This window comes from Homo sapiens, chromosome 8, assembly GCF_000001405.40.
Source record: "Homo sapiens chromosome 8, GRCh38.p14 Primary Assembly".
Lineage (NCBI taxonomy): Eukaryota > Metazoa > Chordata > Mammalia > Primates > Hominidae > Homo > Homo sapiens.
In genome coordinates, this window is record NC_000008.11 from 3307375 (window position 1) to 3321764 (window position 14390).

General features: G+C 39.0%; 1 protein-coding gene across 4 annotated transcripts in view; it reads right to left on the bottom strand.

Annotated features, from left to right (window-relative positions):
- The window catches only part of CSMD1 (CUB and Sushi multiple domains 1), a 2059554-nt gene that overhangs the window by 372014 nt on the left and 1673150 nt on the right, over positions 1-14390 (bottom strand). For all 4 annotated transcript variants that reach the window (XM_011534752.3, NM_033225.6, XM_011534753.4 and 1 more), the window contains 2 exons: positions 938-1129; positions 321-447 (listed from right to left, as the gene is read on the bottom strand). In XM_011534752.3, the coding sequence (XP_011533054.1) occupies positions 321-447; positions 938-1129 (319 nt within the window). The remainder of the gene's footprint in view (positions 1-320; positions 448-937; positions 1130-14390) is intronic.

The window sequence follows — 14390 nt, forward strand, 5'->3', positions numbered from 1 at the left end:
ACGCAGATCAGAACAGCCCAGGCAACCCACGAAGTCATGATGTTTTTTTTCAGCTACTAAATTTGGGGGATAGTTTGTTATGCAGCAGAAGCTAACTGATACACTCTCATTTTGGCTTTACTATATAGAACTTAATTAATGGTTTCAAGGCAACAGCAAAGTAAGCAAGTGAGCCAACAAAACTTTTAGCTACAGCTTTACCTTTTCTTCTTTAGTTCAGAAACTTTAACCATGGATATTTGGTGTACCACTATCTCTGCTACAAGAATAGAAGGCATATCTCTTTTCTCAAATCACTGAAACCAAAATAAAACAAGTACCTAATGGTCTTTCCTGGGTCTGCCTCTATAATCCAGGTGCAGTGGAGGTTGTTGTCATACGGAGCTGGATAGCCAGGGGACAATATTCGTCCTGATGTGGCTGCATGGATCTGACCACCACATTCCGCTGTAGAAGACACAGAGAGATGGGAACGTTCAGCTTCAGGCATCACATGTTTCTATTTAGCTACTTTTCAAAACCAAAGCCATTATGTCTGCATTATATACATAGAGAAAAAGAATCACCATCATCTCTCTCTCCTGACCGTTTCAATATTTCTTCCAAATCATTACCTCTGTGGAAAGTCTTTATCCTCCATGCAATTAAAGTTGAGAGCATAAAGCAATAAGACACTCATGTGATAATTCTAATAATATGTGATAATTCTAATAATAACACTGTACCTATAGTCTCCATAACAGAATACTAGAAAAACTGTCTTTCATAGCTGAAAACACACACTCACAGACACGTGCAAATCTCAGAATACATAAAACTCACACTGGAAAGTGTGATAAAATTCCTCCTCTTTTCCAATAAAGGAAGTCAATGCAACATGGTGCAAGCACCCTAAGGCCTGGCTTTTGCACAATGGTATGACTGCTTCCACACTCACCTATGCACGAAGGTAGTGGTTTGTCCCACACTCTCCTGTCTCCACTCAAACAGGTCAGGGTGTTGCTGCCATGCATGGCGTACCCCGGGTTGCAACTGTACAGAACTACAGTGTCGGTAAAGTGGCCTTCATCACGGATCCTATAGCCGTAGTTAGGGATGCCCGGATCCTCACATTTTACCAGATCAAAACCTGCAAGAGAGAAAGGCAAGGAATGAACAGAACTCAAGGGTGGACATCTGCCTTAAAACAGAGATGAAACAAACAAGGTTGCTAAATGCTCCTTGAAGGGTAGGGAGAAAAAAGGAGATTGTGAATTTACAAAGGGGAAAAGAAAGATGGGTCTGTACTGGGGCTATTTGTTACCCATTTGTGATTTCTTGAAGTTCGGTCATCTTATTTGTTCCTCCCTACTTACAAGTTTTTTTTTTTTTTTTTTTTTGCTTTTGTTGCCCAGGCTGGAGTGCAATGGCGTGATCTTGCCTCACTGCAACCTCCACCTCCCAGGTTCAAGTGATTCTCCTGCCTCAGCCTCCCAGGTAGCTGGGATTACAGGTGCCTGCCACCATGTCCAGCTAATTTTTTGTATTTTTAGTAGAGACGGGGTTTCACTATGTTGGCCAGGCTGGTCTCGAATACCTGACTTCAGGCAATCCACCCCCTCAGCCTCCCAAAGTGCTGGGATTACAGGCGTGAGCCACTGCGCCCGGCCCCTCAAGCTCTTGTTTTCCGGAGTTCCACAACTTCATCTGTCAGTCCAAGCCTCCAGTCTGCACCCTGGATTCTCTGGTGAGCCCCAATGCCCTCTAGGACCTCTAGGAACGGGATACTCTGCTGCCTCTTTGCCCCTCTGTCACAACCTAGACCTCCAAGGAAGAGGGGCCACCTATCGGCACTGCCAGGGTGCTTTGCAGAATCCTGACAGCCAGCACTTATTCCAGCCCATTGTCAAGACCCGCCCACCTTCCCGACAACTTCTTCCAAACTCCAAGATGTCAACTTCATGGGAAAAGAAAAAAAAACTGGCGCTCCTGAATTACTGCCGACCACACTCCTGATGGTGCATGGTTATGAGGCTCTTGAGGAAATCCACACAACAACAGAAACTCCAGAAATGAATCATTATAATGACCTCATCAAAATAAGCTCTTAAACTCAAAGAAATAGATGACAGAAATGAAGATTTAGCTTCTGCAGTACTGAGAGCTGTATATTCCTTTTATGTGAGGCAATATTTTAAGGCCATCTGTGAAAGACAGTCTTACAGTAACATATTTCTATTCATATCATGATGCAAATTTTGACAATTGTAAAAGGGAGAGCTGGAAACTTGAGGGACCACATGGTCTCTTTCCTTCTATTTCCACCAAACTTTGAATGCTTTCTTTTCTCAAAAAGAAATTAAATTTTGAAATGAATTTGTGACTTCTGCTACATCCTCCTGTCAATGTGAAGTCTGAGATGCCCTTCCATTGAGGAAAATGTATTCTTAACTTCACAATATAATTTTACCCTGCTGATGTCTGACTAATCAGGATTGAGATTTGCAGCTTTGTATAGGAGAAAGAGGACATGCTTGATCCTTTGCACTCAGTGACTAAGAAAATTTCCTTCCATAAAGTTTCCTTCCACAAAGAGTCAGTCTTTACCAACCATGACATTATTATTTTTACGATAACCCTGATCTATTTAAGAGACACCAATAATTTTAATTCAGATGCCTGGAATTCAAGAACAGAAGAGTGTATCCATCTTGGTGCAAAACAAAGGGATATGCTAAATGTCCACAAAGGGGAGGTAGAAATTAGGGGGATGGTTTCAATCAATCACCTCCGGTTTCAGGGTCATTCAAATATTTGATGACCTTCATCTCACTGCATAATGCCAAGAAGACAGGGCAGAAAGGAAGACATTCAATATCATGTATGACAAAATCCATCATTATTACAGATTATTCAGTGCTCATTTCTGTTTTCGCAGAGAGGAAAAAAGAAGCAGAAGTCTTTACTGTTGTTATTGTTGTAGTGTTACTGGGTTTGCGGGTTTGGAAGTGACAGCATCTGAACAAGTCTTTAGAAGGCAGTCCTGCCCAGCATTGGGGATGACCACCAGCAAACTAGAGGCAGAATGACTTGTTGGAGGTGATGATTCTCCCTGGCCACACTTGGAGTCCACCTCCCTATTAATAACAAACAATCTTCCAAAATCTTGCGCTATCTTGAATTTACATTAGGTATGCTGCTTATCCAATGTCATTGGAACATACAATTGGAAATAACCATTAGGCACACAAAATCGGGGTGTAAAAAACTTTTGAGTTCAGCATCTATCCCTATGATCAGTACCACTGGAACAGGATCCTGGGAAAACTTAAAAATCTTTTTGAGGGGTGAGGGCCGCCCATGCTAACAGGGCATCCAGGTCCTGTCCGTGAAGAACAAAGCTGTGAATGGCAGCGGGGCCAGGAAACTGTGGGGTTCTGCACACAGCACCCAGGAGGTATCCACCTTAACAAACCACACCCAATGTGACCCGAACTTCTCGTTTTTCAAGGGGCAAAAGAAATCTGGAGTTTTAAAAAAAGTTTTTAAAAAGAGGTGGAATATTGCACGTAATGCTTCTAAACTGAGCTTTGAAACACATCTGCTGGGGATGATGAAAGCCTGGACTAAGAAGTGGTCAAGATGCCTACACAGGCTGCTCAACTTAACAAATGAGGTTACGTCCCAATAAACCCATTAAGAGTGGGAAATACCTTAAGCAGAAAATTAATGTAATATACCTAACTAACTTTCCAAATGTCTTAAATTCACCTAGCTTACCATAAATATGCTTAGGACAGTTACCTTGGCCTATAGTTGTGGAAAATCATCTAGCACAAAGCCTATTTATTTTATAAGAAATTGTTGACATGAGATAGTCCTCCCCACTACTAATAACAAACAACTTTTTTTTTTGGAAATGCAGTCTGTCTGTTGCCCAGGCTGGAATGCAGTGGCATGATCTCGGCTCACTGCAACCTCCATCTCCTGGGTTCCAGTGATTCTCCTGCCTCAGCCTCCTGAATAGCTGGGACTATAAGTGCGAGCCATCACACCCAGCTAATTTTTGTATTTTTAGTAGAGTCAGGGTTTCACCACGTTGTCTAGGCTTGTCTCAAACTCCTGACCTCAAGTGATTTGCTTGCCTCGGTCTCCGAAAGTGCTGGAATTATAAGCATGAGTCTAATCAGCTAGAGAGTCAACACTTTCTTACAAAACAAGCTTTATGCTAGACGATTTGTGCTAGTATTGAATACTGTACAGGAAATGAAAAACAGATGGTTGCATGGGTGCCCAAAGTATACTTTCTACTGAACGTGTATTACTTTTACATCATTATAAAGTTGAAAAATTGTAAGTGAACCATCATAAGTTGTGGGCTGTGTTCATTTTGACAATAAATTATGTTCTGATTGTACAGAAGCGTTTATCAATCATAAGAGATTTTCTTCACTGGAGACATGTGTAATAACATTCATTTTCCTGTGGGACTTACAAATTGTTTCAGTAGTTTATAGCCATAAGCTCTACAAGTAGTTTATAGCTATTAATGCTTTAAACGTTATCCAGAATATGCCTCTATGTTCAGAAATCATGGCTTTTAAAGACTTCAATCAAAAAAGGTTAACAAAGTTCTAAAATCCAAAAATAGGCTTATTTTAAAATTAGTTTAAGAAGAAACATTTTCCTCTACCCTAAAACTTGCATTAAAGCTTTGTTTTGTAATGTTTCTTTCCACTCTTCTCCAAAAAAAACAAGCAAAGAAAAAAGATGTATCCATTAAAATGTCTACTAAACTTTACTTGGGTTGCATTTTGTACAGAAATATGTTTTATTGCTTTTTCTATCAATCATTCAATATCAAAAGTTTTTCTTTCTGCTTAAACTACACCTTGTCATACAGAAGAATTAAGCCAAGTTATTTATGGCAGCGTAGTTTTCTCTTTATATGACCAGCTGTCTCCTTTTTTTCTGATGCCTTTTCTTGTTTTTGCAAAAGATCACTTAAGACCTTGACAGCATCATTAAATTTATTATCTTGTAAAAAGCTCTATAACTTAAAGCCTCTAGGCTTGTGTGATGTCTTTTTATAAAATACATTCCTCTTTCCTGTCAGAAAGTTGAAAGTATTTGGCCATTCTAGAGATCAGTTTTCCAATTTTCAGTAGACTGAAGAGAGCTTTGTTCTCTCAAAGCTCCTCGCAGGATTTGATGGTTCACACACAGTTGCTGGGAGAATCATAGGCCTTTACAATGGGAAGTAGCATTGGAATCACAGCCATCAATACCTTGAAGGACTAGAGAAACATCCCTAGAAATCTGAAGCTTCTACTTCGTGTCACTTGCGCCGTGAACCAGCTTAGTCGCCTGCTAGGGAGAAGAGTGCTGCCTCCACCGTTAAACTGTGCCCTTAGAGCCATAGCATGTCAGCATCTCTCAGGTTCTCAAAGGCAGTTAGACTTCAATCTGGTGTTTCAGACACTTTGACCCCTAGGCTGTTACTTTATCCACATTCGTTAGGATACAGCCTAGCCTGCTGTTTCCCTCTCTGCAAATTGCATGAAGTACATTTCAATTGAGCTTTACTTGCTGTGTGTTTAAAGACTAGAATATAATCATTGTTTCCTAAAAATGTCAACACTGTTTTTGAATATTGGTAAAATAAGTTGATGTGTAATAGGAGAATTCTGAAATGACAACATAAAATTCTATGATGTTAATTCTGCACTATTTCAGAAAAGAATGTTTCCATGTTTTAAGAAATCTCAGATGGATTAAAGACTTAAATGTTAGACCTAAAACCATAAAAACTCTAGAAGAAAACCTAGGCAATACCATTCAGGACATAGGCATGGGCAAAGACTTCATGTCTAAAACACCAAAAGCAATGGCAACAAAACCCAAAATTGACAAATGGGATCGGATTAAACTAACGAGGTTCTGCACAGCAAAAGAAACCACCATCAGAGTGAACAGGCAACATACAGAAAGGGAGAAAATTTTTGCAATCTACTCATCTGACAAAGGGCTAATATGCACAATCTACAATGAACTCAAATTTACAAGAAAAAAACAACCCCATCAAAAAGTGGGTGAAGGATGTGAACAGACACCTCTCAAAAGATGACATTTATGCAGCCAAAAGACACATGAAAAAATGCTCATCATCACTGGCCATCAGAGAAATGCAAATCAAAACCACAATAAGATACTATCTCACACGAGTTAGAATGGCAAGCAATCAATCATTAAAAAGTCAGGAAACAACAGGTGCTGGAGAGGATGTGGAGAAATAGGAACACTTTCACACTGTTGGTGGGACTGTAAACGAGTTCAACCATTGTGGAAGTCAGTGTGGCCATTCCTCAGGGATCTAGAACTAGAAATACCATTTGACCCAGCCATCCCATTACTGGGTATATACTCAAAGGATTATAAATCATGCTTCTATAAGGAAACATGCACACGTATGTTTATAGCGGCACTATTCACAATAGCAAAGATTTGGAACCAACCCAAATGTCCAACAATGATAGACTGGATTAAGAAAATGTGGCACATATACACCATGGAATACTATGCAGCCATAAAAAATGATGAGTTCATGTCCTTTGTAGGGACATGGATGAAGCTGGAAACCATCATTCTCAGCAAACTATCACAAGGACAAAAAACCAAACACCTCATGTTCTCACTCATAGGTGGGAATTGAACAATGAGAACACATGGACACAGGAAGGGGAACATCACACACCGGAGCCTGTTGTGGGGTGGGGGGAGTGGGGAGGGATAGCATTAGGAGATATACCTAATGTTAAATGACTAGTTAATGGGTGCAGCACACCAACATGGCACATGTATACATATGTAACAAACCCTAAAACTTAAAGTATAATAAAAAAATAAAAAATAAATCTCAAGTTTTTAAAGGATATGTTTAATTCTACAAAGATATTCTTCCAAATAGAGATATTTCCATTTTAATGTGAATTTAAGAGACTTTTGACTGATCAATTTTAAGCCTGCTGAAGAGTAGTAACTTTAAAAACATACAGAAGGTATCCTTTTCTATCTTGAAGCCACTAGTCTGCAATTATTCAGGGCACAAATACTGGTTCTGTATTTGCTTTATGCTCTAGAAACTTTAAAAAAGACTAAATCACATTATTTGTGTCAAAGCACTATTAAGTATTATTACAATCAAAACTTGAATGTATTTAGTAATTCTATTTCTTTGTTTTCTAGTGATTTCATTTTAAGTCAAAGCACAGCCAAAATACTACGAACAAAATGTTCTAATCAAAACAAGCTCCAAACATTCAGCTGATGAAAATTACTTCTCCATATATGTTGCATGAATTACGCAGTCTTAATATTCTTAAGAATTAAATCCTATGTATCTTCTAACAATATTAGAGTTCTATGAGACTTGCTTTTAGCTTTCAAGTATTCGGATTAGTTCTTATCTTCCAAATAAAGCACTTGTGTTTCAAGAGAACCGGCTCCAGACTTAATCCATTTTATACATTAGGCTGAACAACGAGCTCACAGTAATGTGAGTTTTTTCAGCTTCTATCTGAGCAACTCTTGAGAAAGTAGTTTCATGCTCAGGTGAGCTCTGAAAACATAACTGAAGAAAAGGAATACTGGTCATTTTTGAATCTCTGATATATTTTCTCATGAGCAACTGAAAAAAGCTTGAAGTATTTACAAAAACATACTATCTATCTGTTAATTTTACCTAAGACATTTCAATTGGGATAATGTACTTCTTTGGCAAAAATCTCTTTAAGAATGACTCTCATGTGAAAAAAAGGGACAGTGTTTTCACACCATTTCCTTCAGTGTAAAGAACTGCATTAAAAACTTAATATTGCTTTTTATTAACTCTATTTGGATTCATCTGAATAGGAAGGGAGTTTCAAAGGTAATTGGTTAAATTTATTTTTTATAGTTCACTTGAGAAGGAAAGTTCATTAATAATGAATTTCCTGAAATGTGTGATTATTTCCTGAAATGTGTGATTGTTCCATGTTTTACAATACATCTCTCTTTATTCAAGAATGAAATTCTAGGTGAAGTGAGTGTGTGTGTGTGTGTGTGTGTGTGATTTTTAAACTATCTTTTAAATTATTTATGGTTTTTTAAGCTACAGATGCTATTGTTTTCAAATTGAGTCCTCTTGTTAGCTACTATTTTCATTTAATTCATTCAATTTTTCCCATATATTAAGTTTTTGCTGACATTATTTTGTAATCCTATGAGCAGCCCCATGGTAAGATACTCCACATTTTTAAAAAATAGCAATAGCAAACAGGTTGTTGACAATGTTTAAACAGAAATGTAAACTTCTGAACTTAAGGTAAAACATCAAAAAGCCTGTAAATGTCCAGAATGAAAATCAGATAGCCAAATTATCTATTTTTTGGAACTGTCTTATTTTTTATCAAGCAAACTTTTAATAAATCATAAAGCAAGTTAATCATACCTAAGAATTTAATGAGTCAATCTTGAAACATTTTATAATTTTAAATACATTACATTAATCCCAAGTGAATTTAATGCTGGTTGTACTTTGATCTTGTGCAGAGCTTCCAGCAGGTCAAATAGTTAATATCAATTCTGAGACGTCTCAGTGAAATAATTCAAATTATTCACTTTCTCACTGATTTTTTTACCACTATGCACGTATGTTCTCTGTTGAGGATATTTAAAACTCAGAGTGGGGGAACTTGGGGCAAGACCAGGATCAGGCACCTACATGGATGAACTGAAATAATTTCACTCTAAATTCATCTTTAAATACATCCAGTTGGCAAATATTGTTCTAACTTGTACAAGGTGGTAAGAACTTACAATTAGGTGCTAACTATATACTGTATGTATTGTAACATCACCATGTGCCCTGTGCCCCATGAATATGTGTAATAATTACTTGCCAATAAAAATAAAGGAAAATAATGAGCTGTAAAAAAAATGTTTTCAAATCTATCAGGAACTTTTTTGGGGCATGGTGGGAAGAGTAAAATAAAACGGCTCCTATCTTCCCCTGTCTAATGAATGACAGATAGGAAATAAATACTTATAAAACAACACGATGAATGCTATGGTTTGCGTGAAGGTTGAGAGGGACAAAGGAAACTAGTATATTGGTAGCTGGAGGGGTTCAGTGAGCCTTGCGGGAGAGGGTTTGAGCAGGTCTAGGGGCCTCCTGGACGCCATCCACTCAGAGGGAGAACAGTCCAGGTGGAAAAGGCTTCAAATCGCATGGCAGTTGGGAACACCAATTTACAGGAACATTTGTATATGCTGATGCTTCCTTTTAAACGTGTGGCGGTTGTGATGGAGACAGGGATTGAAGGGAAGACAGGAAAGGTCACGGGAAAGACTGGAAAGGACTCGGCTGCAGCACCAAGGAGTGGAGACCAACTCAGCGTGCAGTGGGGGGAAGGCAACGGAGAAGACTGCACAGGAAACTGACACAAGTATATTCGTATTTCAGAGAGATAATCAGAAGCAATGTGCAATATGGACATGGGTGAGAAGAAAGAAAGGACAAGCAGGAAAATCTGCAAAAGTATTTATTTAGTGCTGGAAAGGAGCCTGTGTCAGTGGATGTGGGGAGGGGATGAGGCAAGAGTGTGTGCGTGGATGAAGCATGCACAAATACTATTTTGCAAATTGAGCCTGAGTGAGAGTGGACACAGAAGACTCAGTAGATGATAGATGGGGTCTGTGATGAAGAGAGGACACCAGAGAAAAATGCAGCTCATGGGAGAGGTGAGGGAGGAAGAGGAGAATCATCAGCATTGTTGTCACATAATGATTCTGATCTTCTCATAGCAGATCCCCTGTATTAACCCAGAAAAGGAATACATCTTTCATTGATAACACCTGTTATGAAATAATTAAAAATAAACATGCTTTGGATATGTTAGGAGCATGAGGAGCACAGAGCGAGACAATCTCAGTCCTTATGGAGTTTCACAGGGAAATTAGACATCCTAACAAATAGTAATCGCAATAATTACCCAAGCTATAGGCATAGACAGTATGAGTCAACATTGACACTCAATCACACAAGTGTGGACTTGTATTCTCTGTTGTTCTGGTGCCTGTTTTCTATTACGTTTTCTATTTTTTCCCAATTAAGTGTTTGTTTTGTTGTACTCACTTCTTTGTATAGCAAGGGGTGAATAGTTAAAAAATAAAAAGCCCAGAATGACTTAATTTTGTTTTGTTTTGTTTAATAGGAACTTCTGTGTGATTGTGTAAGGATGGCTCCTTTTGTCAGGTAGAACCAGCCTACAGTTATCTGGTTAATACTACGTTTATTTGGTATCATTACTTGATGTGTTCACAATATCATGCCTTGTACACATTTTAACTTTAAAATGTTATAAATTTTGTGTTTAGTAAAATTTCATGTAAAATAAAGTTGCTACTGTATAAGTGAACTTTTAATGTTATTTTTTGAGACAAGGTCTTGCTCTGTGACCCAGGCTGGAGTGCAGTGGCGCCATCTTGGCTCACTACAGCCTTGACCTAGCAGGCTCAAGCGATCCTCCCACCTTAGCCTATTGAGTAGCTGGGACCACAGATGTGGGCCACCATGCCCAGCTAATATTTGTATCTTTTGTAGAGACAGGGTTTCCCCGGCTGGGCTCAAAACCCTGGGTTCAAGTGATCTGCCCACCTTGGCCTCCCAAAATGTTGGGATTACAAGCGTGACCTATCACATTTGGCCTTCTCCCTGAATTTATTTTTAATTATGATTTCTTTCCTGATGATGAAGCTAGTAAATTATATATAGTACCTTAGGCTTGTAATATTCTATTTTTATTTATGAAATATCTTTCATAGTATAACTTCTTACTATAATGTTTTGCTTTTGTTCCAATTTTTTAATAGGTGTTAAAATGAAAAAAGTAATGAAAAAATAGAAAATCTCTGTAGTTCTCTAATTGAGAACATAAATCTGGAGTAGCATATCCTCTGGCCTACCGCATTGATTCATTAATGCAATCACTTAGCATATGAAGTGCCTGCTCGGCTTCAGATATTTTGCTAGACGCCGAAGATACAAAATTAACTGACCTCAGTCCTTGCTCACCAGAAACTCATAGTCTGTGTAGATAAAAGATAACATATAAAAGTTAACATATTCCCTATTAAAAGGATGCCCATTCATTAATTCAACACATACTTATTAAGCGCTTAATATGCAGTATCTTTCGTGACACAATGCTGTGTTTCAATGTATAAGCATGGTTTTGCCCTTTGGGACTCAGAGTTTAATTGGAGGTATTATAGCAGGTGCATGACGAGAGTAAGAAAGCATTTGCTTTTTGGGTGGTGGTCACAGGAGTTCCCTAGCTGGAGTGTCACGGTTCCTTCTGCAGGGTTTCTGTGGAAGCCAGATCCGAGCACAGGGCAGCCCACACACACAGACAGCCACACACCAAGAAATAAATGCAGCTGCTTCCAAAGGAGCCCCCTGTGCTTTCCACGGGGCAGGTGGGTGACTGTAAACTAACACAGGTCATGCTTGATGGCAGGTGCTGCTTTCAGCTTTACAAATAATAAAAACATACAAACACACACACATATGTGCATTTATACAAAGGGAGACCCAGAAACACAACAACACAGATTCAGCCATTCCTATGGATCACTCCCTTACACAGAATGGAATTTGATTATCCTCAGAACATACTGCAAAACAAACTGGGGATGTTTATGTGTCTTGCATCCAGATAATAACTGAAGAAGTAACTTCCTTGCTGAAAAGGCCTAGCTTTTAAAAAAAATCTAGGAATAAATGGTCAAAAAAATGAAACTCACATATTTCTGTTTTTAGCTCCAAAAACTACTAATTGCTTAAAAATATCTTGACTATCCCGAGCATTTGATTAACTAGTGTTGGTTCTTTAGGATTTAACCACAGGGATTAGAACCACTGCAGAGTCTTCATGGCAAAGTACAAATGAAAATATTTGCAATACACAAAGAATTTGGTATAATTTTATGTCAGTCAATATAAGATTCAAATTAAACATAATTGAAAACAGAGTTTGATAGCTTGAGTAATTAAATATTAATATAGAGCCAATATATAGAAAAAGGTGGCAAGTAAAAGATAGTTCTACCAATATATCCCAAATACCATAATTAAAATGTATCTAAATTATATTGAAATATAATTCTATGCTTTCAAACACTTCCGCACACATTCAACAATAACTTTTAAAAAGAAACATGAGAGTTTCTGTGAAATTGAATTATATGATTATTTTTAAAGATGGGAGAATTCTCAGATTATTTGTTTTTTTTTGCCTGATTGCTGAAGAAAAACTAAATTGATAAAAATGGTAAGAAAAGTGTCAGAAGAACATTAGGAACACGTCAGCCGGGCTATTTTTAAAGTAATTCTTCATTAGTAGTGTAGGTTTCTCAGCACATAATTTTAATTTTCATTGTCTAAATCTCAGTAATGCTTATATTTATATTTATTTGCTCTTAGATGGGAATATCAAATTGATGACTCATTAAAAAAACTTTTATTTTAATGGAGAAATAGCAGCTCTGGTTAATTTATTGTTATCACCTTAGACTTAAGTCTCTACCAGTGGCTTAGAAACCAAGTGAATAGACCGGGCCCCAACTTCAGGAGTGTCTGGCCCAGAACCTCATCACTACCATGAACTCCAGCATAGAGGGGCTGCCACCAGCGCACACAGAAGACATGCTCTGTGCCACACAATTCATCAGGCAGGTTTGTCTGTGCTGTCCCATATAATCCTGAAAATCACCTACAAAATAATGACGATTATAAGAGTCCAACTAAGCAGTGGGGCCCGTGGCCCTGGCACTAGTTTGGAGAGGGACGGAGGATGAGAAGAAATGGGAGACAACTGAGTTCTTCCCAAATTCTGTCCCGGACTCAGCCCTCACACACCCTGCCCCTGCCTCGTGCCTCCTTCACATCTTAGCTGTGAAGGGCACTGCTTATTGCTTGGCTCCCCCATGCTGTAGCGATTTTTACAAGAAAAACTAAAGGATTTATGAAAACACGATAAGCTCCTCGTACAAGTAAAATCCATGTAAATATAAGGGATTATCAACAATACCTGAATTTGTTGCTGCTGTTATGACTCATAGGCTGATACTTTTTTTATTCTACAACTAATAAATACAAAGAAATTGTCCCACCATATGTAAGAATTCAACACCTTGAGCAGTGGAGCCAGGTGGTCAATTCCAGAGAAGTGACAGCCTCAACTAGACCACCGCTGCATTGGGACGCAAGAGCGCAGTTCCTCCTTTTCCATATCTCATTCTTTGAAAGAATTTCTGCTGAGTGGGTGACTGCCATCCATCAGCCTAACTGTGGCTTGCAGGTGCCAGCCCATCCTCTCTGGGCTTATTCCTGAGGCATTAATAACCTAAGCCACCCGCCTGCAGAGCGAGGGCGCAGGGTCATCCTGCCTATGGGGATACAACGCCTGCTTGCCGCACACTTTTGCCCCTGACATGCATATTCTGCACCTCACTGACCGTAAAGCGTTCAGTAGCAAAATACAAATACAAAGCAAAATGGAGTACGTAACCAACATTTTTGGAAATAAAGGCCGTGAGTTCCATCTCTTCCCCAAAAATGGCCTCGCTTTTGTATTTCCCAGTTCATCTGAAAGACACGCAACTCTCAATCTCTTCCACCTTTGCCTCCCTTCTTTCCACTGCTCCTGTCAACCTAGCCACCGAAGGCGTGCAAAGCCCCCTGCACCCACCATCAGGTGGGTCGAATCCTTTGCTTTCTAAGCTTCCAGTGCTTAGTCTAAGCCTTCCTCACTGCACACAAGATTGCTGTTGTTGCTGACTAACGGGTCGCCAAGACACCATGGTGAGTATTCACCCTGGTCCCAGTCTTCTAAGGATCCTGCCATCTGGTGATGCCCTCTGCACCAGGGCTCATGATGCTTTGTGCCGTAGTATTGTCCAGATCCTCCCTGCCCTTTAAGATCAAGCTCCCTTACGGCTGCAGCTGTCCTACCCTACCCTGCATATTCCTCCTGAAGGCTCTTCCTCCTCCCTGAATTTCCTGTGAATCCCACCACAAGTAGGCAATGACAGGTGCTCTGCGTGTATCTAATTCTTCCAAGTTTCCCCATGCAAATACCCCATTACTTCGTCTAGAAATGAACCTCCCTGAACGCACGGGTAGCCCAGAGAACATGCATTGTTTACTGTATCCTCTGAGTCTGGCAGTGAAAGTGGAAACAGTGAAATGTATGCATATTACTATATTTAACTGGTGCTTATTTTAATTCTAGACAATGTGTCTGTAAGTGCTTTTGATTCAAATAAAGTAGTAAGCTTCTAGTGATTTCAAAGTGTTATAAAAACACAAA